Source organism: Homo sapiens, chromosome 9 (assembly GCF_000001405.40).
Source record: "Homo sapiens chromosome 9, GRCh38.p14 Primary Assembly".
NCBI lineage: Eukaryota > Metazoa > Chordata > Mammalia > Primates > Hominidae > Homo > Homo sapiens.
The window spans coordinates 124,327,106-124,350,700 of record NC_000009.12 but is presented as its reverse complement, the minus strand read 5'-3'; the positions used below and the strand labels follow the sequence as shown (position 1 = coordinate 124,350,700).

The 23,595-nt window shown below is 56.3% G+C and overlaps 1 protein-coding gene across 21 annotated transcripts in view, besides 2 other annotated features; it reads right to left on the bottom strand.

Annotated features, from left to right (window-relative positions):
• NEK6 (NIMA related kinase 6) overlaps nt 1–23,595 on the bottom strand; it is a 95,702-nt gene that overhangs the window by 2,607 nt on the left and 69,500 nt on the right. For 13 of the 21 annotated variants that reach the window (NM_001166167.2, NM_001145001.3, NM_014397.6 and 10 more), the window contains 3 exons: nt 23,256–23,363; nt 11,036–11,130; nt 2,879–2,992 (listed from right to left, as the gene is read on the bottom strand). In NM_001166167.2, the coding sequence (NP_001159639.1) occupies nt 2,879–2,992; nt 11,036–11,130; nt 23,256–23,363 (317 nt within the window). The other 8 variants (XR_007061235.1, XR_007061234.1, XR_007061237.1 and 5 more) reach the window with 1 other exon arrangement.
• Nucleotides 6,532–7,404: an enhancer, noted in NCBI's record as "H3K4me1 hESC enhancer chr9:127105576-127106448 (GRCh37/hg19 assembly coordinates)". NCBI's record gives its function as "activates a minimal SCP1, AML or CMV promoter by ChIP-STARR-seq in primed H9 embryonic stem cells {active_cell/tissue: H9 hESC(primed)}" and the evidence as "EXISTENCE:reporter gene assay evidence [ECO:0000049][PMID:30033119]".
• Nucleotides 7,405–8,276: an enhancer, noted in NCBI's record as "H3K4me1 hESC enhancer chr9:127104704-127105575 (GRCh37/hg19 assembly coordinates)". NCBI's record gives its function as "activates a minimal SCP1, AML or CMV promoter by ChIP-STARR-seq in naive and primed H9 embryonic stem cells {active_cell/tissue: H9 hESC(naive and primed)}" and the evidence as "EXISTENCE:reporter gene assay evidence [ECO:0000049][PMID:30033119]".

Here is a 23,595-nt window from a genome sequence, read left to right as displayed (position 1 = left end):
ACGGTGTTTAGCTGGGGCAAGTAAGGGGTGCGCAGCCGCATGGCTCCCAAGGGCTAGCCAGTACCCCTCCCAGGCCTGTCTAGTCCCAAAGGCTGTGCTTTGAGACCCTAAGAATGGTTAACCTCCAAATTATTTTGAACTTGTAGCTGTCCACACCATTGGGCAAATTGTGTGTGTGTGTGTGTGTGTGTGTGTGTGTCTGCTGTCAGTCACGCAGATGCCCAAACCAGAGGACAAAACTCAAGGCAAGGGCTTATTGATCATAATAAACGCATTAACATGCAGCAGGGCTGCAGTCTGCCCACCCCCGGCCCCTTTATTGTGCTCATGAAAGACGGAGCTTTTAATTATACAGACACTGAAGGCTGCTCCCGCCCCGAGGTGGGGGAGGGGCGCCTTGCGCCTCTGATCGCCTCCATTCTTCTGATAGCCGGAGTGCCAATTATTTTAATGGTAATTAAAATAATGACCTTAAAATGCCTACATCTTACCCTGCATCACGGGCTCACAGCCATTGGTTTCCATTTAAATACCTGCTGCTGGAGGGGTGGTCAGCCCCGCAGGCCACAGCAGCCGAAGCAGCAGCAGCAGCAGGAAGCTGGGTGGTCCTGAACCAGAGGGGGCTCTGGTGGTCTCAGTGGCCACACTCACTCAGGGACTGGGAAGGGCCCACGGGACGTTCTGGAGGCCCGGGGGCTACTGCTGCGCAGGCCCGTTAGGCTGAGGGATGGGGCCTGGGCTTCCTGTAGACTAGGGCTCCTCTCAGCTGATGGGGCATTTTCTCCCTGGGCCACAGAGCCTTAGGGTATCCCCTCGCACCTGCGTGCATGCCTTACAACCGAGAAGCCCAGGTGACACAGGGCCTGCAGCCTGCTAGGCCACTCCCGGAGTCTGAAGTCGCCTGTGGACAAGACAGCTGTTTTCTGAACCTTACAATATTCGGGGGAAGGTACCTGTGGTTGGCCTCTGACAGGTTAAAATACCCAAGAAAACCAGATTCAGGTGAAGTGTCTGTGACCCGAACTAATTTATGAAGTAAACGCACAGTTGTCAATAAGTGCATGTTTGAAGTTTTCAGAATTCAAGAGAAAAATAATAAAAGTGTCTTATTTTCATTTCTAAGCAGCGATATAACTTTAAAATAGGGTGTGCTGGGGGCTCCTGAGCACCACCTCTCACTCCTAAGCATGGGGCCCGGCGAGAGCCAGTGCTCCGGGGAGTGGGGGCTCGTGGCCAGGAAAGGGCTGACTTGGGACAGGGGCTTCAATGTTCATTTCAGCCTCATCACTGAAGTAGAGAGGGCGACTCCCATTTCTAGACTGACAGCCAAAGCACAGAGTTGTCACCAGCTCCAGTTGCACAGCTTCAAGCTTCTGAATCATACACAAGTCCGAATTCAGAAGATGAGAAAGGAAAAAAGCAAATGGCAACTATTAACTTTGTAAAGAGATGCAACTTGTTTTTCCTCCCACTGGGGAGGAGAAATACTTCCTCCAAAAGTGCAGGTCAGAACTTGGGAGCCAGGAGAGGAAGGGCACTGTGCAGCGCCCGACACTCGAGCTCCTCTAGCCCTGGAGTCTGCAACGCCAGCAAGCACAGGCTCAGCACAGGTGCCCTGCGAGGAGCCTCCGGCCTGGACACAAGCGCAGCACCCAGGACCTGCCCTGTGCAGTTTGGCCGGGGCAAGGGCACTCCTTCCAGAGCCTCACCCCAGCTAATTGATGGGCCACCAAAGACATGCCATCAAGAAGCACGATGGCTCCGTGGCTGCGCATGTGGGTTCAGATCCTGCCTCACCGGTCTTTTTAACTTGCCTGTGTCTGTCTGTTCCTTATTGGTAAATGGGTGAGGGGAAGATTCAACTCAGGAAGTCTGAACATGAGCTGTTATTATCGTGAGGTGACGGCCTGTGGTCCTATGGGGTGGGCCCACGGAGGCCCCAGACTCACCCACTAGCGTTGACCTTGAACAGAAATAAGGGTCACATGATATTTAGTGAACACTGACTGAGCCAGGCCCCATCCATTGGCCACTTTGGATGGTGGTGGCAGTGTTAGCCTGGTGCCTTACCTTAATCCTTATGCTGATCCTGTGTGGAAGATTTAATATTATCCCCATTGTATAGGTGAGGAAACTGAGACTCAGGGAGGTTAGGTGACTCACCTAGGAACAGTGCAGAGAGTGTGTGAACATGTATCTACACTTTTGACCCTGCTGTGCCAGGAAACCTGTCCTTTCTTCCTCACCATTATCCACCAAGGAGATTATTAGTCCCATCTTCAAGGTGACGGAGCCGAGGAATAAGATATTCACACATTCCTAGTAACTGGTACAGCCCCATGCCAGACCCATGGGAGCTGTGTCCACGGCTCCCGCAGCCAGTGTAAAATGTTGACAGTAGAAGCCCAGGGTGTTAAGTCTGTTATATAAGGAGGAAACTGACCGGTCCTCCTGCCGTAGTTTCCTGTCATGGGAGCAGAGTGGCCACCACTGGTGGTATGGGGACGCCAGGCCTGCCACATCCTGCCCCTGTATCAGTTCCCATGTCTGGCACGGCACAGACCCTGTCCTGGGGACCTGCAGCAGAGGGCCTCCCACTGGAGCACCAAGTTGGGAGCTGAACAGGTGGAGATGTGCCAAGGGCCACGTGCCACTGGTTCCTACCTGGGGGTCCCACACTGGAGCTGCGTGGTGAAACCCCTTCTTCAGTGCAATCACCTACTTTCCCCTCTCCAAGTCACTTTTCCAGAAAGCTCCCTTTCTGCACCGTGTAAAGTGAGCCTAACCTCAGCCCCACAGCTGTGGTGTTTTGGAGCGGCCCTCATAAGCCTCGGTGGCCTCCTGGGGCTGGCGAGGCCTCCGGCTCCTGCAAACTCACCTTCTCGGAGTAGTGCTCCCCGGGGAGTGGGGGGTAGTCACACTGCTCGATCTTCTGGCACAGGGAGAAGAGATTCATCTTATCTCCATAGAAGGGGCTCTGGAGGGCTGCCATCTGCAAGGGACGGGAACAACGAAGATAAGCTTTCGGCCTCAAGGCTCAGAAGGACTAGAGAGGAGGAGGCTGCTCCAGATTGTTGGGGCATGGGTTCTCTCTGGTCCCGACCGCGGCGAGTCCAGCAGGACTTCTCCCCCGAATCACCGAGCATGCTGGGGTTCAACAGAGGAGCAGGCGCAACACTACCCTGATTCTGTCACTGGATTAAGTGGGCACGAGGGTTTCGGTGACAAAACTTTCAAGGCAATAAAGAAGGGCAGCTGGACGCTGCAAGCTAATTCCCACCTTGCTCCCACCTCAGCCCGGGGGACCCAGGCTCCATGTGGCAGGTTGCCGAGTGCATGGTCTTATTTCCATAAAACGCGATTTTTCCAAGATGCCTGCAGGGGCAGGTCTCTGTGCCCCACATGTTCAGAGAGCTTTCCTTACCTATGGACTGACATTTTGGGGTGGGGTGGGCCGGAGAAGGGTGAGGCATTTCACTGTGGCTGTTCTTGCCAGCCCCTCGCAGAGCTGCTGCCTGTGGAAGCCAGCTGCCGGTATCAGGGCAGGGGGAGCAGGGGGTTCAGGAGGGAGGGAGGCAGCCTCCTGCCCCTGGATAGAGGTGCGCAGCAGCATGTTGGAGGGAACCTTCAGGGTGGGAGGGAAGCGCCTGGCTCCACAGCCAGCCCTAGCTCTGTCCCGACCCCAGCTCTGCACTCGCTGTGTCTCTGGACTTCAGTTTCCTCATTTGTAAAATGTCCCCACCCACAGGCCTGTGGCGAGGCTTGGGCTGGCACACGGAGGAGGCACCACCAGCAGGGCCAAGACCGCCTTTGATGAGGTGAGGCCTGCGGCACCGGTTCTGCCCTGAAGGCCGGCCACAGCCACGGGGGAGCGAAAGGCCTGTGGGGCGGTGGCCTCCTGTGAGTTCTCAGCTGTCAGGGTGCTGCCAGGCTGCCCCACCACTCAGGGCACTCACAGGGGACTCCTCAAGGGGGTGTGCAGGGGCCACAGTGGCCCTGAGGCGGTGGCGCAGCAGCCCAGCGTGGCACCTGCTGGCCCCATTATGAACCCATAATGGGAAAGAGCTTCTCGTCACTCCAGCTCACTGTGGCTGCCTGCCTCCCGGACCGCCCCCCGAGGCCCAATGCCTCCGGCTAGTGAAGTGCCGTCGGGCGAGTGCCCTCCTGCTGTCTGGCCCCGGTTCCCCCCCGGAGGGGCCACCCTGCTCTGGCTTCTTGGCCAAGGGCTCCTGGGCGCCTACCGAGGGGCCCTGGGATACCTGGGGAACCGTCGCTTGTCCTCGCGCCCCAGAGGCTGAGCGGGGAGGAGTCCTTGGTAGCAGGGTTTGAGGGTGCCCGTCAGCTTGGGTTTCCTGGTCTTGCCCCATTCTGTGTTCGTCCATGAACAGGTCTGGTGACCCCAAGGGCCTGCCTCCTTCAGGAGGGCGTGGAGGAGCTTCAGAGCCTGGCACCATCCTTGGGTTTGCAGATGGCCTTTGGGGAAGCTGCTGAGTGCAGCCTGGAGACTGTGGGCTTTCCTCAGCCCCAGGTTCAGCACCCTCGGGACCAGGAGCCCAGGCCAGGCCAAGTGCCTTCAGGTGGGTGTTTAGGGACAGCATCACCTCTGTCTTCCGGCTGGCTGGGAGCTTGGGCCCCTCAGAGAAGGGCTGGGAACCCATGTGGAGCCTGAAACCCACCCTTGGAGGAGGGCTGCAGGGAGGGTCTGGCCAGGCAGGGGAAGTGTGAGGATGCAGAGGCCCTGCCCATTTTGGGGTCTGCTGACCTGACCAGGAGCGGGCTGGGAGCCTGCCAAATGCACCACCCAGGTGACGCATGTCCAGGAATTAAAATGAGACTCTCGGGTGCAAAGGGTTAATCGGGCATTTTCAAAGGACATCTGTTGCCATAACAGAGAGCAGCTGAGACTCCAGGACGGTCACCTGGGGTGATCTGGGTGCCCCCGAGTTGCAGCTGGAGGATTAAGGTGGATTTTCCTGGACTGTTACTGTGCAGCGTAGAAGGGACATTTTGAGTGTTGGTCCTGTGAACGCAGGCCCTGGTTTTTCATGTGGCTGACCCCGGAGAGGAATCAGCCGATCTTCAACTTCAGATCATGCCCATTTGATCTCAATTTTATAAACCTCGCTGCTGGGAACTCCAAAGGCCCCAGAACGCTGAGGGGAGCATTGAGCCCCCAAGCTGGCATCCACTTCCCATCATGTCTCTGCTCTTTCCAGCACTTTCTCCACATCGTTTCAGAAAAGCCTTTTGAATGGGGTCAGCAGTGAGCTATGCCAGAGGACCCCTCTCGGCCTTCCCCAGGAACAGGCCTCCTCCATCCGCCCCAGCCTGCCCCCACTCTGCTGCCGGCCATGGGCCTTCCACCCTCATCAGGGCAATGGGCTGTGAAGAAAGCTCTGGGCTGCGCGGATTACAACGATTACCCTGGACGGCGAGATCTCCTTCTACCAGTGACCACCCAGACTCTGACTGGTCGAAATAGAGAGGACTCACTGTCTGGGGCCTCGTTAGAACTGCCGAGGCCACGGCTCTCAGCGCTGCTCCTCAAATGCCAAGCCCTTCTCTCTGGTGTCATCAGGGTGACATATAGCCGAGGAAAAGGGGGTGGGTGGGCCCTGGCCCCCACCAGGAGGGCTCAGAGAAGCTGGTGTGTGATCTGAGATGTCAGAGGGACAAGGGGAATCTGACTCCTGCCTGTCAGGGCCTCAGACACCCATCTTGTCACCCAGTGTCTCTCGAGCACATCCCAGACAGAAGGGTGACTGGAGGCCAGGAGGTCTGCAGCCCTGCTCCTCCACCACGGAGGGGCGTCCAGGCCTCTCTGCCGTCCAAGCAGCATTCCAAAGCGGCGTCCCGGCCAAGGCTCCGCAGATCTTCCCCTTGAGTCCGCTGTCTCGCTGGGTCTCAGTCCCAGCTGGGCACCTCAAGGCTGCTGCGAGGAGGCCCCCTATGAGGATCCTGGGACTGGCACTGAATGAGCCAATTCCTCTAGCTCCGTAATTGCAGCTGAGCTCCCACATAGATAAAAATCAGTCCTGCAGAGCGGGCAGCCCGCTGGGCACCTCCATGGGCATCTAGGTAACGAGAACAGAGCCCGGCCTTCCGATATCCCAAGCTCGGGCATTGTTGCTCCCAGCTCCCACCGGGGGCTCCCCACCGCCTGGCCTGCGAGTCATGATTCACTCCATGTTCGGGCCAGCACTCCTGATTCCAGCCTCTTCAAGACACTCCGCTGGGGCCCCACCCGAGGGCCAGGTGCGGGGCTTTGTGGTGGCTCCCACTAGCTGGGGTCAGCGCCAGCAACTCCGGTGGCCACAGGAGGTCCTCGGTAATAGCTGATGCCCAAGTGTGAGAGAGGGTATGGGGGACTCAATGGTGGGCCCCAAAGACATCCATCACCGAATTTTTGGGACTTGTAAATGACACTTTATAGGGCAAATGGGATTTTGCAGCTGTGATGAAATGTTGGCTCCTGAGATGGGGGCATTATCCAGGTGGGCCCCAACGTACCCACAAGAGCCCTCATGACAGGGAGCCCGAGAGAGAAGGGCACAGAAGAGGGGAAGACGCCAGGCTGACGCACACCAGAGGCTGTGGTGACACAAGGCGGGGACCGAGGACCGCGGGTGGCCTCTCCATTTTCCATGGAAAACATAAGGAAACAGATTCGCCCCCAGAACGTCCAGAAGGCACCTGCCCGCTGACACCTTGACTTAGCCCAGCGAGACTGATTTTGGACATCTGGCCTCCAGAATCCTCGAGATCTAAGAGAGTAAACTTATGTTGCTTGAAGCCATCGGCGTGGTGGCATCTGTCACTGCAGCCACAGGGATGAGCACAGGGGCTTTTGAGCCTTCCGGGCTGTGCTGGGGCTTGGGGAAGGGCAGGTTTTCTCCGGCTGTGTCTGTCACCAGGGCCCAGGTGACCTGGGTATGTGCCCTGTGCAGGATCCTCAGCTGTTGTCCAGAGAGGGCAGGGGGCTTTGTCACAGCTCTTCAGGCTGGTGCCCCTGGAAGACACCACAGGCTGTGGGGCGGGAGGCTCCGGGCGTGACTGCGGGAGGCCTCTTTCCAATTACATGGCCGTGGGCTCAGATGTGGCTCTCCTCCCTGTCTGCTGGGGAAACGCCTGCTTCACCTTCCCCTTTAGGGACTGCAGGAGTGGGGAGGGGGTCACTTGGCACAGAGCCCCTGCCCCGTTACCCTTGGATGGGCCGGCTATGGGTGGCCACAGCAGCCTGCTGCTGTGTGAGGCCGGGGCTGCTAGGGTTAGGTCAGCGCCTGATGTCCCTGAGGACGCTAATCCCCTCAGGGCTTGACTGCTGTGTTTCATTCACTTCCTACTGCTGACTGGTATCCACCCCTGGCTGTGATCTGTCCCCCCACACCACCCCTCGCTGCGATCGGTACCTCCCCAGCTGCGATCCATCCCCCGTACCACCCCCCGGCTGCGATCCGTCCCCTCACCGCCCCCCGGCTGTGGTCCAGCCCCCCCAGCTGCGAGCCGCACAGCCCCACTCACTCCAACAAATGAGTCAGCTCGGCGTAACCCGAGCCTCAATGCCAGGGAGTCACGAAGGCGGGACTGCCTTGTGAGATGCACATTTAGGTGCCCACAAATGAGGACTCGGAGGAGGACTGCCCGAGCCAGAATTCAGTGAGGCCTGGCACAGGATGGGCTGTGCCTGCCTCTGCAGAGCCGAGACAAAGACTGAGGCAGGGAACGGGGCTGGGAACCACAGGGCCGGTTCTCAAGTGGAGGGCCTGGCACAGGCAGAGGGAGCCAGCTGCTGGCCTCCCGGCCCCAGCCCCAGGGAAGTGGGCACAGCTCTGTCAGCCTGGCCAGCCTGTGTGTGTGTTCATATGCTGTGTGTGTGTTTATGTGTGGAGAGCCCATGGTTCATGGGAGACAGGAAGCAGCTTACAAAAACACAAAGCAGAATGGAAAAAGAAACGAAAAGCCATCTGACCCAGGGACAAGACACATGAGGAAAGGAGGACAAAGTGGAGCCTCCTCGGAGACTGAGGCTGGGCTGCACTTTGGCTTCCCGCTGGCCAAAGCAAAAAGGGAAATGTGGCAAGCTGCAGGAGCCTCGTGCCGGAGGCGGGCAGAAGTGCCCGTGCTTGGCCTGCAGCTGGTGGACAGGCCCGAGGGCCTTCTCTGACTCGGGCACCTCACCCCTAGGGCCTCATTCCTTCCTCACTATGACAAGGTGGGCTGGCCACTCATTCTACATATGGGACACCTGAGGCCCACCCGGGAGGGGCTGACTTGCCTGGATCCTTCCGTGGGTGGGCCCTGGAGCTGGGATTTGGATGAAAGTGAGTTGGTAAGTGAGCTGCCTACACACAGACACGTGCTCTAATTCAAAATTGTGCTCCCCGACCATCCACTATGCTGCGGGCATTAGCCTGGGCCTTGGGAGACCTAGAACGCCTGTCTCTTCCCCTCAGGATCTGACACCGGGTGAACGATGCCCACTTACAGGTGGGTTTGCATCCCCTCCTCAGACCTTAGGGCAAGTGGGGGCAGGGCGGTGACGCTGGAGCCCTGAGCCCAGGGACAGCCGGGTTAGCAGGTGACATGGGCGTGACTCTACTGCTAGCCTCAGCGACCTTGGTGGCCAGAGTGGCCACCTGCCTGGATTTAGAGGAGTCCTGGAGAGACTGGAACTCACGACTCCTCCTGGGGGACACACACCAGCAGCACAGTGGCTCTGCGCCACTCAACAACTCTCCACACCCGGGGCTTTCCCCACCTGGATTTAACGTCTTCTCCGCAAAATAACAGGCACGCACCCTCCCCGGGGCTGTTCGGAATGTGCAGGCACACAGGGCCCTACACCAGCAGGTTTCCTCCTGTCTCAGAAGAGTTTGGACTTAACATGTCTTGTCTCCTATGGCTAAAGACACTGACTTCCCTCCAAATTCTCTCCTACATCCACTGCCCTCCCCCGAGCCCACCCACACACCCTGCTCAACACTCGCCGCCCCAACCCACCCAGGAGCTGGGCTGTGGAGAGACAGGGAGGCAGGGAGGACAAATGGCTCGTCCCCCTTTCACCTGCAGGCCCCTTCCCCATCCACTACACACTCGCCATGGCTGCTCCAGCTAGGTCCTCATTCAAAGAGCTCCTCCTGCAACCGATGCCCTGTGGAGTCCTGGAAAGAGCACCCGGCCTGCTTCCCAGCTCTGTCAGGGCCAGACTAACCCACAGACCCTCTTGTCACCCGCATCTGCTGAGCCCTGGGAGAAGGGGTCCCACCCTCTTGTCACCTGCATCTGCTGAGCCCTGGGAGAAGGGGTCCCACCCTCTTGTCACCCGCATCTGCTGAGCCCCGGGAGAAGGGGTCCCAAGCACCAGTTCCACAAGGACCACACCTCCAGCCAGTCTGTTAAAATGAAATATAGCAGGTCACTGGCTTATAAAGAAAGATGCTGCCAGCCTGGCTAACATGGTGAAACCCCGTCTCTACCAAAAAATACGAAAATTTGCCGGGTGGGGTGGCGGGCGTCTGTAGTCCCAGCTACTTGGGAGGCTAAGGCAGGATAATTGCTTGAACCTGGGAGGTGGAGGCCGCAGTGAGCCGAGATTGCGCCACTGCCCTCCAGCCCGGGCGACAAGAGTGAGACTCTGTCTCAAAAAAACAAAAGAAAGATGCTGTGAAGTTTAAACCCTGCAAACAGATCAGAGTTTTGAACTCATAGTCTCAATCTGTAATGTGGGGAGGGGAAATCTCACCACCAAAAGACCCTGGCCACAAGACCCCCTGGCCACGAGAGCGGCCGCGGGTCCCACGTGGCCCAGCGGTGGGCAGCGTAGCCCTCAAGTTCATGCACAAGGGCTGTGAGGTCAGCCTCAGAGTCGACAGTCCCAAGGGGACAGAGCAATCAGGCTCTGTGGACAACTGCGCAGCACTCGAGGCAGGCCCTGGACACGCTGTCCTGAGCATCACTGCTGTGGACTGTCACCGGCCACAGCAGCTGAGACTGAAGTTCTTTCAGTGTGTCAGCTCCAAGCCAGACCCCACATCTGCTCAAGTCAGCTCCAGGGAAAGCAGAAAAACAGTCAGGGTTCCAACTGTAAAACCAAGCCGGGCTTGGTGTCTAACAGCCTGGGGGGGTTTCCAGAGCCCTTTCCTGTCTGTCATTTATCAGGACTGAGGACAATGCAAGACAGGTGGTCCTGTTCCCATCTTATAGATGCGGAGGGGCTCAGCCAGGTGGATGGAATCCCGGAGCCACCCAGCCTTTGGTGGTCTAGGGACAGTGGGGAGCTTGTGTGGCTGCCAACCTGGACACCGGAGAACTTAGGCCTCCCTCCTGCCGGTGGCTGCAAGAGCTTCATGGCCAAGAGTGGCTCATGCTCCCCACACCTCTCATCACCTGGGGCCCCAGTGTGGCTGGACAAAATGGGTGGGGGGCTTCCATTTATTCTTATTGTCTCACGTCTGGGCTCACTGAAACTCAGAAATGTTCCTGTCCCTTTGTCCAGGCAGGCCACCAGGTCTGGAAGTGGCCATCCCCTAGCTCCATTTAACAGCTCAGGGGAGAGGTGGTGGTCTTTAGGGAGACCCACATTTCTGGGCCTGGAGGGGGTGGCCACCTGTCAGTGGAGAGTGATTCAGGGGCATGAGGCAAGTCTGACTCCTCTCCTGACCCCAGGTGCCCTGCACCGGGCCTGACCCATAATAAAGGATGAACAGAATCGCCGGTGTGTTAATGTGGTTACCAGGGCGACGGGGGCAGGGGCAGCTGGGGATCAGATGCCTGGCCTGTGCTCCCTCTGTCTTCCCTTCCTGGACCCCGCCCACTGCTGTCCACCCTCTAACAGCCTCCACCAGCCTGGCCCTGCAGACCAGGCCCCACGTGGGGCTGAGGAGGGTGAAGGACAGGGCCCTGGTGGTACCGATGCCTCAGGCAGACGTGACATTCCTGGGTTCCAACCCTGAGCTGGTAGGGTGAGCCCTGTCCTAACTGGGCACCCCCCATGCATGTCCCACCAAATGCTGCTGAGCCACGGACAGAGACTCACCTCGTACAGCAGACAGCCCAGGGACCAGATGTCGGACTTGAAGTTGTAGCCGTTCTCATGGATCCTCTCCGGTGACATGTAGTAGGGCGTCCCCACTGCAACACAGCAAGGGGCGGGGCTGCTTATGCTCCATGTAGGGCAGGGGCAGGGCACAGAGGTGAGGTTGGAGGGAGGGCACACGGGAGCTGGGGAGAGATTGTGCCTCGGTCTCTGAGCAGCCCTTCTCCCTCTCTGGGCCTGGGCCTTCCTCTGTCAGATGAGCAGTTGGATCAGATTAGAGGTTCCCATGCTAGCAGGGCACTAAACACCTGGGGTGCCAGGGACTTGAAGCAGATTCCCTGGACCCACCGAGACCAAGAATCAGGCTGGGAGGCTGGGCGCCATGGCTCACGCCTGTAATCCCAACACTCTGGGAGGCCAAGGTGGGTGGACAACAGGGCAAAACCCCGCCTCTACTAAAAATGCAAAAATTAGCTGGGCATAGTGGCAGACACCTATAATCCAAGCTACTCAGGAGGCTGAGGCAGGAGAATCACTTAAACCAGGGAGGCGGAGGCTGCAGAGAGCCAAGATTGCGCCACTGCACTCCAGCCTGGGCAACAGAGTGAGATTCGGGCTCAAAAAAAAAAAAAAAAAAAAAAAAAAATCAGGATGGGGCTGGAGAGCTGGGGGTTGGTGTTTCTGCCAGCTGCCCAGGGGAAGGGGATGCCTCCTCGGCCCGGCTGGGGGAAGCAACTGACCACATGTCCTTTAAGGGGACTGTCTGAATCTGCAAGAGTCAGGATCAGGCTCTGAACAGTGAAAAAACCATCACTGTGGAGGCTGACCAAGATCTTCCATGTGTCAGCTCATTTCTGTTCCCAACAGTGCTATGAGGCAGTATCTCCATTTTCCAGATGGAGAAACTGAGGCTCAGATGGGTGAAGAGGTTTGCACGAGAGTGGCAGGAATTAGTTCAAACCCAGACCCTCAGGTTCCAGAAACTGACCACTTAGCTCTGCCCATGGCCACCCGCCAATTAGCCGGTCCAGACTCGGGTTGGCCGAAATCTCTTAAACAGGATGGAAAAGGCACTAACCAAAAAGGAAACGTGTGTAAGGCATTAAAACTAGGAACTTCAGTTCATCAAACCACACCAGAGTTAAAGGCAAGTCACAGACTGGGAGAAAATCATCCCAACACATACACCTGACAACGGACTCTTCACAGAACATATTTCAAAGCTTCTGCAAATCAGTACATAAGAGACAAACTACCCCCTTATTCAAATGAGCAAAAGCCCTGAACAGGCACTTCACAAAAGAGAATATCCCAGTGGCCAAGAAGCACATGAAGTGAGGCTACTTTTCTTACTACTCATCAGGGAAGGGCAAATTAAAACACAATGAATGGCACGGTGGCTCACGCCTGTAAACCCACCACTTTGGGAGGCCGAGGTGTGGGAATTACCTGAGGTCAGGAGTTTGAGACCAGCATGGCCAACATGGTGAAACCCTGTCTCTACTAAAAACACAAAAATTAGCCAGGCATGGTGGTACACACCTGTCATCCCAGCTACTCAGGAGGCTGAGGCAGAAGAAACCCTTGAACCCAGGAGGTGAAGGCTGCAGTGAGCCGAGATCATGCCACTGCACTCCAGCCCAGGTGAGAGAGTGAGTGAGACTCTGTCTCAAAACAAAAAACAAAACCAAAAAAACACAATGAGGTACAATTACGCACCCATCTGAATGTTTAAAGACAAAAAAACCAAAGTTAAAGAAAAACAAGGTCGATGATGTGTGGAGCACCTGGAATGTCCATGCTTTGCTGATGAGAAGGTAAAATGGTACAACTACTTTGGAAGACCATCGGCTGGTTTCTACCATGGCCAAACACTGCCAACACTATAGCCCAGCAATTCCGCTCCTAGGTAGATGCCCAAATGAGTGCTTCCATCCATCAAAAGACACAATCAAGAATGTGCAGAGTGGCTTTGTTTGTAACAGCAAAAACTGGAAACAAATGTTGGATCAATTGATAAACTGTGGTCTGTTCACACAGTGGGATACTGTACAGCACTGCAAAAGAACAAATCTCAGTTATACACGACAAAATGAATGCAGCTCATGGACATAATGCTGGGTAAAAGAAACCAGGCACAAAACAGCACATTATTGTATTTCATTTATGTGAAATTCAAGAACAGGAAAAGCTACTCTATAGGAGTGGTGACCAGGAAAGGGCTCCAGGAGCTTCACTGTATGTATATTATACCTCAGTTAAAAAGTGAATGAGGAAAAAGGTGTTAATGGTGAAGATGGGGCTCTGCTGCCAAGAGGGAAGCCAGAGGGCTTCAGGGCCTGTCCTCAGGGTCCCTCTTCTCCCCGCAGGAAACGCCAACACTGAGGAAATTGTGGAGGGCTGTGCCCTGACCTCCCAGCACCTGTAGGGTTATCTCTGGGCAGCAGGGCACATATTGGATGAGCTGGAACCGTGCAAAGATGGGAGGATTTCCTGAAGCAGTGAGCTCTCCATCACCAGAGGCATGAACACCTCAGCAGAGGGGCTGATTTAGCAGGTCTGGAGTGGAGCCCAGGAATCTGGTCCTGTAACCTGACATTCTCCTATCAGCCCATTGAGTGGATGGCTATTCTGGAGGCATAGGCCCGGAATTCTTTTTTTTTTTTTTTTGAGACAGAGTCTCGCTCTGTCGCCCAGGCTGGAGTGCAGTGGTGCGATCACCTCTGCCTTCCGGGTTGAAGTGAATCTCATGCCTCAGCCTCCTGAGTAGCTGGGATTACAGGCACGTGCCATCATGCCCAGCTAATTTTTATATTTTTAGTAGAGACGGAGTTTCACCATGTTGGCCAGGCTGGTCTTGAACTCCTGACCTCAGGTGATCCGTCTGCCTCGGCCTCCCAAAGTGCTGGGATTATAGGTGTGAGCCACTGCACCCAGCCTGGCCTGGATTTTTAAGGTTGCTAAACTGAGAACATTTTCACTGGCCTGGAGACACCATGTCATGTGACAGAGGCTGCTGCTGTCCTCACCAGTCTCTGTGGTGAGCTGGAGTCCCAGCGTGGCAAAGGCTGGCTGAGATGTGGCCTGTGACATGAGGAAGAGGGGATCCAGGACCCTGGGAGGAGAATGGACCATTCAGGGGCTGGACTCAGAAGGCACCGGGCCGAGGCCTCAGGGTTTCACGGGTCAGGAGATTTCGGGAAAAACACAGGTAACTTTTAATTTCATGAAGGAAGCATTTAAAAAACACAAAGCCCCCAACTACCATTTAGTGTCAGTCACTATGATTTTTAAAGAAAAGACAGCTTGGCATGATTGAGAAAACCCATTTCTCAAAACTGAGGACAGTTCTTTACAAAACTGAACAAGTTTAACATTTTGAACTTGATTATATTCTTGTTTTTTCTTTCTTCTTCTTTTTTTTCTTTAAGACAGGGTCTCGCTCTGTTGCCCAGGCTGAAGTGCAGTGGCGCGATCTTGGCTCACTGCAACCTCTGCCTCCTGGGTTCAAATGATTCTCCTGCCTCAGCCTCTCTAGTAGCTGGGACCACAGGTGCACACCACCATGCCTGGCTAATTTTTGTATTTTTAGTAAAGATGGGTTTTACCACGTTGGCCAGGCTGGTCTCAAACTCTTGACCTTGGGTATCTGCCCGCTTTGGCCTCCCAAATTGCTGGAATTACAGGCATGAGCCACCACGCCCCGCCTAAAATTCTTTGTAGAGAGAGGTTCTCACTATGTTGCCCAGGCTGGTCTCAAACTCCTGGCCTCAAGCGATCCTCCCACATTGGTCTCCTAAAGTGTTTGGATTATAGGCCTGAGCCACTGCATCCGGCCTTGTTTTTCTTATCTTAATGGAGATGGATGAAGAACTACCTCGCAGTTTTTGGAGAGGCTGTAATGGTGTTGGAAATCTCTGATCTGGGCTGTCAACTCCCAGGGGCAGGACTTTGTTTGTTGCCGCATCCCAGTACCCTGCGCAGGACGGCTCATAGTGGGTGCCTTGTGGGCGTCCGCTCACTGGATGAATGAGTCCGCCTGCCTGTGAGCTATGTGGCGGCGCGTGCCACTGCCCACAATTCTTCCTTGCAGCTGAACACACTGCTCATTTAACTGATGGCTGCCCGGAGCTCAACTGTCTGAAATGTGATTATTGCTTCATCAGGATACCAAGCTCCTTTTCATGGCAATAATCCCCAAACAAGCGCAGCAGCCCTCACTTAAAGCCCTGCTTGTGAGAAAGGTGTCATCCTCTATGCATACTTGATGAGCGAAGCCAGGGGCTAACCGCTACTCAGCAGAAAGGGCTGTCAGTCAACATATGAATCCGTGTGGGGTTCTTATAGGACAGCAAATCGCAACTTCCAGTAGCAACACCTTGTATATTTTGGTCACGAGGGAGCAAAAGTAAAGGAACAGCCCAGTGTGAAATGGATGGCTTGTCGTAGCCAACCATGGGATGAAACACACAGTTCTCGGTGAACAGTGGGAACCTCAGGACAAATGTAAGTGGATTCCAGCACCTGGGTGCTATGGATGGATGTGCCTACAGGTTGGACAATGATGTAGGGCTGATGGGGTGCACACAGAGATGGCAGGGGACAGATGCAGGCAGGGAGTCCTGTCCCCAGTGAGAGACACCACTGTGCACTGTCTGGCTAACACTGAACCCTTCAGACCCCTGGCCAAGCCCCTTCCTGTCTGACCCTACAGGCTCTTCCCACCCTGAGTCTCCTCTGCTCACTGTGGATCTGCCTGGGCCTCTACAGGAGGGATGCTGTGGGGAGAGGTCACCTACACTGGGGCCGGGGTGTGGCCTGGCGCTGCCTTGGCCAGGACCATCGGAAAGCAAGGGCTTGGAGTGCCTGGCCCTCAGCCCGGGTCCTCCCACAGCGGCTACTCCAGCCCCAGCCCCAGCCCGCTTTTCCACTCGCCTCTGTGCCTTTGCACGTGCTGTTCCCTTTGCCACCTTGCGGGCTCCTTTAAGGTCCCCTCCCCTGGCCAGGGAGAGCCGGCTGCTCAGCAGGACCCAAACGTTAGGTTTGTCCCTTTGTTCTGTCACCACCTCCTCCCTCTGCTGGAGCTCCAAGGCAGGCCGACAGATCCCTGTCTCAGCCTGGCTTTATATTGAAAGCCTGGGCACGTGGGCAGAGAGAGATTGGGGGCACCAGCCCTCCGTCCCCTCCTCTCTTCACCTCATTCCTCTGCCACCTCACTGCTCTCTCTGCTTACCCCATTTCCACTGGTGTACGGAGAAAAGGCAAACATCCAAATGCAATTTGGAGCTTTCTTCTAAGATGCTAGTGTTGCAAATTGCCATCCATCCATCATCCACCCAACTGTCCAACCATCCATAATTGTCTATCGTCCATCCATCCATCCATCCAACCCCCATTCATTCATCCATCAGTCTGTCCATCACCCATCCATCCAGCCAGCCACCTGCCCACCTCCAACTAAGATTAACTGAGCCTTGACCCTGCTGGGACCTTGCAGGAGTGGGCCCATCAGGAGGCAGGGAGTTAGTTGCCTGTCCCAGGAAGTATTCAGAAACAGCCAGTAGACCATGTCTATCAAGAATGGACTTGGGCCGGGCGTGGTGGCTCACGCCTGTAATCCCAGCACTTTGGGAGGCCAAGGCGGGTGGATCACGAGGTCAGGAGATCGAGACCATCCTGGCTAACATGGTGAAACCCCATCTCTACTAAAAATTTAAAAAATCAGCCGGGTGTGGTGGCACGCGCCTGTACTCCCAGCTACTTGGGAGGGCAAGACAGGAGAATCTCTTGAACCCGGGAGGTGAAGGTTGTAGTGAGCCGAGATCGCACCACTGCATTCCAGCTTGGGCAACAGAGCGAAATTCAGTCTCAAAAAAAAAAAAAAAAAAAAAAGGACTGAAATGATCCATGCTGCAGCTGAATTGCCTGGAGAGGCTGGTTAGAAATCTGGATCTCCAGTCCAACTCCAGACCTGGGGGCCACAATCTCCAGGGGTGGAACCTGGACCCTGTATCTCTTACAAGAGATGTTACTGTTAGTTCCCGTCTAAAAGGAGCTGCCAAAAGGCCTCACTCACCCACCTCACTCTTTCAGACGCTCGGTGAGCATCTGTGCAACGGAAAGGTAAAGAAAGTGAAGGAACTAGTGAAGCCTTAACTGAGAGAGGCTTGGCCCATCCTGAGCCTGGCAGCACAGGGTCCTCAGGTCCCTGCCTCCCGGCAGGTTCCCCAACCCCCTGACCCAGGGGAGGGGCTGCTCCCCCTTCTATCTTAAAGTCAGGGTGCTGTGTCTCACTGGGGGGCAGGGTGTCCTGGACTGCAGCTAGGGCTGTGGGAAGCTACAGGAGCAGATACAGCACCTCTTCCTGTGATGGCAACTTGTCTGGGAATAAGTCACGTAAAGCCTGGTGTCTACGCTGACAATAGCCACTCAGACACTACAGAGCACAATGCCCAACTCGCATGAGTTTTGAAGATAAAACAAGAGATTTCAAAGAAACCCCCAGCTTGCAGCGGGCCACTGGAGGATGCATCCCCAGACGCCAGGAGAGCTGGGATTCTGAGGAGTCGTCGGGGAAGCTGGCAGGAGGAGGGGTCTCCACAGACAGCGGGGGTCCTGCCCAGGACGACCTCTGTGTGCAGTGCAGCCCGGGCCTTATCCCGGCCCATCTCCCGGCGATGCCGAGACGCAGAGGCAGAGCCCTGTGCAGCCTGGGTTTCCATGCCCCTCCCTGAGACTCCCACCGCCCCCTCCTCTTGGTGGGGGACGGAGCTGTGTGTATGAAAGAAGAGCCTGACAAACCCTGACCTTCCCGGAATCTTTACCTAGAACTCCCGATTTCAAACCCAGCAGATATCAGAGGAGAATGCGGGATCTGAAAGAGGGAGGCTGATTAAAGGGGCCCCGCTTCCCCAAGATGCGCCGGTCCTGTCAAAACAAACTTTGCCGTGTTTTGAAATGCTCTCGGTGTTTGAAACATGTTCATTAGCTACGAAAAAGGCAGATTTCACAGGAAGGGGAGGCTGGTGTCTGCAAGCTGCCCCTCTTCCCCAGATGGTGGATTGGAAAGCAGCTGGAGAAATGCGGTCTCCTTGCTGACATCCGTCCAGCCGGCGGGACATTGGGCTGGGGGGCTGTGCCTTGGCACTGAATCCTCCATGGGACAGACAGGGGCAGGTGGGGACAGCAGTGACATGGAGCTGGAGCTGGCTGGGCTGCACCTGCTTCCTCCACTCCCTGGCTGAGAACAGAAACTCTCTCTCAGCCTCGGTCTCCCCATCAGGAAAACAGAGGGTCCCCCCCTGACCTCTGCAGACTTGGTTTCCCTCTCTGGAAAATGAGAAGCAATTGTTGGAGGAGTGTTTGGTTCATGGTGAAGACTAAATGGATTCTCCTACCAGGCTGTATCTTCCACAAAGGCAGGGGCCAAGCCAGCCTTCCCGGGGAACGGCCCAGGCCCAGCACAGATCCTTGTCGAATGGATGAACGAATGAATGAACCAAAGAGCTGGAGTTTACATCCCAGGTCCAGATTGACTCCTCACTTGCTGGCCCCTTAAGGCCCTTCCCTCTCCTTCCCTCCCCTCTTGGCATCAGCTCATCTCTTCCTAACAGTCTGTGCCCCTGAAAATGCCAGGAAGGTGGCAGACCTGTGACTGCCACCGAGGGGTTAGTGCTCAGAACCTCGGCTGAAACTCAGGCCTGAGATCCATCTGCTGAGGCAGGGATTCTGGGCCCGAGGGACTGACAGGATCATTCCCAGGCATCCTGCACTGTTGGGATGGGACGCAGGGTGGGGCTGGGGCAGGAGGCGGCCTGGGATGCATCTGCATGGCCCTCCGCACCTGCACGGACAGGTGTCCCCAGGGATGCCTGGCCATGAAGGTCGTCCATCCACTCAGCAAATGTTCCACAAGGGCCCCCATGCCAGGCCTGGGCACAGACGCAGCACAGCATGGTGTGATCCCCGGCAAGGCAGCGCTGACACACACCATGAGAGGAGGCTCTGTCCTTCCCTGTGGGGCCCAGGATGAGCTCCAGGTCGTCCACCAACACCTGCTGCTGGCGAGGTCAGGTGGGCTTTTCCTCAGGGATGGAGCGCTCAGAGCCCTAGGTGTTCCTCGCACCTGAGGTCTCGCTGGGGATCCTCTCTCGACCCCTTCCCTGGGCACCCACAACCCAAACCCTCCCTGGGCCATGCTGTAGGCTGATGCCTCGAGAAGGGCTCTTCAACTTGAGCTGATTTCCCGTGGGGCTCTGGTATCTGGCTACTGGGTGACCACAGGGATGTGGTCTCTCTTACTTCCCTGGGCCTCAGTTTCCTAATCTGTAAAATGGGATAATAATAAGCCTTGTGATGATTTACAAAAAAGCAAAATGAGCAAAATGTTTTGTTTTTTTTTTTTTTGAGACAGAGTCGCTCGCCCAGGCTGAAGTGCAATGGCGCCATCTCAGCTGACTGCAACCTTCACCTGCCGGGTTCAAGCAATTCTCCTGCCTCAGCCTCCCAAGTAGCTGGGATTACAGGCGTGCACCACCAGGCCTGGCTAATTTTTTTGCTATTTTTAGTAGCGACGAGGTTTCACCATATTGGCCAGGCTGGTCTCAAACTCCTGACCTCAAGTGATCTGACTGCCTCGGCTTCCCAAAGTGCTGAGATCACAGGCGGGAGCCACCACGCCTGGCCAACGAAAAAACAAAATGTTTTTTGAACTCTTTTTTCTCCGTCTTTAACTCATCTTTTCAGTGAGTTCAGTGGCTACAGAGTAACGAAGTGAGGGCGGCTCTGGGAGGGGTGGAGCCACCCTGGGCTCCCTGGGGCTCTGTATAGAATCACAGAGCCCCACGCCTGCCCTGCCTGCCCACAGTGGGCCCCAAGAGGCAGTCCCACCTGTCCCCTCACCATGCCACCTGGCATGGACTGTGTCTGTCCCCTCGAAAGCTGCATAATCGCATATCCCCAGCACACAGCCCAGGGCCAGGCAGTTTGCTCAAGGAAGAAGAAGGAAGGGGTTTGCGCCTCAGCGCCAGGCTAAGCCCTGGGAGACCCAGCAGGGCCGTGACCTCGAGTACCTGATGGGGTCACCCCCAACTAGACTTGCTCTCCCAGCCCCCAAGAGGCAGCACGGGCCCTGCATGGGCCTGGGTGTGACCAGCCGCCCTTCCTGCCCTGTCACCCGTGGCTGCCTGTCACCGAGACTGTCCTGTCACTACAGCCGAGGAGCCAGGCCTGCCCGCCCGCTCTCCCAGCCCCGTGATTTGTCTTGCAGCTGCTGCCGTTGCTCGGAGCGAGACACTTGCTTGTAGCTTGTGAGCTGTGTATAGGCAAATCTTTCATTTTTCCTGCATTACGCCGGCGTGTACTGTCACTTAATTTTTATGTATGCAATCCTTCCTGACAAATATGATCTGCTGCCTGGTAATTCGTCTGACGCTCATTCTGTTCCGCGCTCTAATTACGGCTCCTATTTCTGACACCGAGGCAGCCACTCTGCCACCGCTGGGTACCGCACCTGTCAGCCCGACCATGGCACTGACTAATGCCCTTTCATGCCAGCCTCGTGTTAGCAAATACAGAGGCGGGGAGGGGGCCCAGGGAGGGGGGAAGTGGGAGGAGACCAGATTTGCATAAGCCCAGCTCTTGGGTCAGCAGCCTTAGGAGATGAGGTGGTTGCTGGGGCAACGTGGCTGCCACCACAGCATCCCCACATAGTAGGTGCACATGAGATGCGGCAGATGCATAATTCATCCCCACGCACAGGGCGTGAAGTGTCCCTGGCCCCTGTGCCCCTCCTGAGTCACGATGCAATGGTAATTAGTTCAATCTCTTGCCCAACCAAACGTGTGTGCAAGACTTAGCTGTTTGCAGAACCTCTTGGTGGAAGGGGTCTTTCCCCTGGGTCTTGGAGATACAGGTCCTGGGCTTTAGCTTGGCACTGTCACCATTCTAGAACCTGGTGGGTGCAGGCCCTTGGTTCTGGGAGCTTGTCCTGCTGGCAGGGACTTGCTCAGCTCCGTGCAGGCCTCAGCTCATTGGGCATCTCTCCTGGATGCCGGGCACAGAGCCCGGAGTGGGGACAGGCCCCAGGAGGGCTCCTTCCACCCATCATGTGGCCTGGTCGGCGCTCGGAGGGCTTGGGAAGAGCCCGGCTTATGAGGGCGGCCTTCTCCCAAGTTCCAATTCCTTCTCATTAATATAATAAGTGCACCAGTCCAAGTCAATAAAATCATACTGTCGGATGAGACGCATCTCTGCCCATTCCTAATGATGCGATCCTAACCCTCTCTGACGGAGCGCCACAGTCTTTTTTCTGCAGTGGGACAGAGAAAGGCTCGGTGCTGACTGACGGGGGACAGGACGCAGCGGTTCTAACTCTTCTCTTTGACAGCTTCCCTTGAATTTCCTGGTCTTTTCGAAGCCCTTCAACCACACAGGTAAACAGTCCCAAACTGACCGAAACACTTGGTTTTTCACAAGGGAAGTAAATGTTTGAGGGGACAAGGAAAGACGAGGCTTCCTTCCAGCAACGGAGAGTCAGTGGCCCGGGTCCCCAAAGGGGGACTCCAACGGTATCTGCCGAGGCCCCCGGCCCTCGTTTCCTGGAAGCAGCGTGGGTTCTGAAGGAGAGGCCTGCTGCCATGTGACCTCGGAAAAATCTCTCGAGCGCCTGGATTTCTGATTCTTCCTCTGCTAAAGGGAAGGATGGCTGGATGCTTGGGGCTGTCAAGGGCATGAGTGGAACGTCCCATACTCCCTGGGGGGTGGGTCCCTACACATCTTCCCTTTGGAGCTAAAGGAAGAGCTCCTGAGGCCTGGCCAGGTGGGGACAAGAGTTTCAAAACAACCCCCTCCCCGCCAGCCCCGCTGGCTCCATCAGCTGCTGGGAGTCGCTGGTCTCTAGGCTCGTACATTTCTCCTAAGTGTGTGTGACGCGCTGAGAGTCTCTCTGGAACCTGTATGAACAGTGACACTTTCCACAAGACACTGTGACTTCCAGAAAGTGCCTCCGCCCAGACAATGCTGCTGTCTCTCACACCCCGCTTGCCGCAGGCACTCGGGGGTCTGGGGATAGGAGACGTCCTGGCTTGAGCCATGGAGTGGGGTGGAAATGAGCTGGAATGGGGCGGTGTTCAAGGAGGCGGCGGGCAGCTCCTGGGGCCCAGCCCCCTCCTGGGGAAGCGGATGCTGGTGGGCACAGCACACAGGGGGTGGGCCTGGGGGCACCTTCCACTGCAAACACACCTCAAAGAGCCAGGAAATAGCCCTGAGAAAGCAGGGGCCCTCGCCCACTCCATGGGCCTCTGGGAAATGTTCCCACAGATGGGCGTGGTGAAACCCAGACAGCCTTGTAGTAACGCACAGGAGACCCTGCTCCTGTGTTCCACTGGTGGGGAAGCGGGGGCTTTCTTGGTTCCTTTGTTCTCACTAAATGAAAAATCCCCCATCGTACAGCATTCCAAGTTTCACATTTGGTTACATACCCAGTGTGTGGATACTGAAGCTTGCCATTGCTTCACCTGTCCCCAAAACACATCTGACCAAGTCTCTTCCGGAGTCCAGCCCTTCAGCACCCCCCGACCCATAGGGTGGTGTCCAGCCCACTGAGCTCAGAGTTCAAGGCCCTGCCCGCTTTTCATGCCACTCCTGCAAGGACCCTGGTCTGTGGCAAAGCCAAGCTCAGCCGCACACCGAGGCTCACCCACTGTTTCCTGGAACGCTGCTCCCTCCCCTTCCCTGTCCCAACAGCATCTGGTCTCCCTTTATGGTCCAGCTACAATGTCACCTCCTCCCTGGCAGGCACCTGGTCCCCACAGCCTCAAAACCGCCAGTTTAAAAGCCAGAAACTAGGAACAGTGCAAATGTCCACCCCCTAGGAGGGATGGACCAAGGGTGCTGCCCGTGAACGGGACACTCACAGCAGTGGGAAGATGACCGCCCTGTGCCACAGACACGCCCCCTGCTCCAAGCAACCGGCTCAGTCAGCTTCTCCCGCAAGGGCTGGGAGGTGATCAGGGGGTGTGGGAAGCCCCAGCTGGGCTCCTCTGGCCACAGCTGATTCCCTTCTGGGTCACTATTCTGAACAGATGAGAAAACCCTGGGGCTTAAAAAAGGCATCTTCCTGCACTAACTGACCAAACACACGTGGGGAGAATGTTTGCGTCTCCCTGCATGGTCACCAGGACCGCTGGGGGCTGCTGGGGCACAGACAGGTCCCCCTTACCTAGGGAGTGGGCTGCGGTGGTCTCAGAGCTGAAGAAGCGGCCCAGACCAAGGTCACCGAGCTTCACGACGCCCGTGGCTGTGATGAACACGTTGGCAGGCTTGATGTCTGCAGGGCGAGGAGAAGGAGATTGGTGTGGGGTAGGAGGCTTGGGGTAGGTGGGGCAGGACGAGAGGAAGGGGGAGGAAGGTGAGGCCTAGCCCAGGTCCTGCTCCCTCAGGGCAAGGCCCTGTCCTGGCTCTGGCTGTGGGACCTCGGGAAATTGACCATTTCTGAGCCTCAGTTTCTTCATATGAAAAATGGGTCTCCCTCCACCAACTTGACAGAGCTGCTGTGAGGG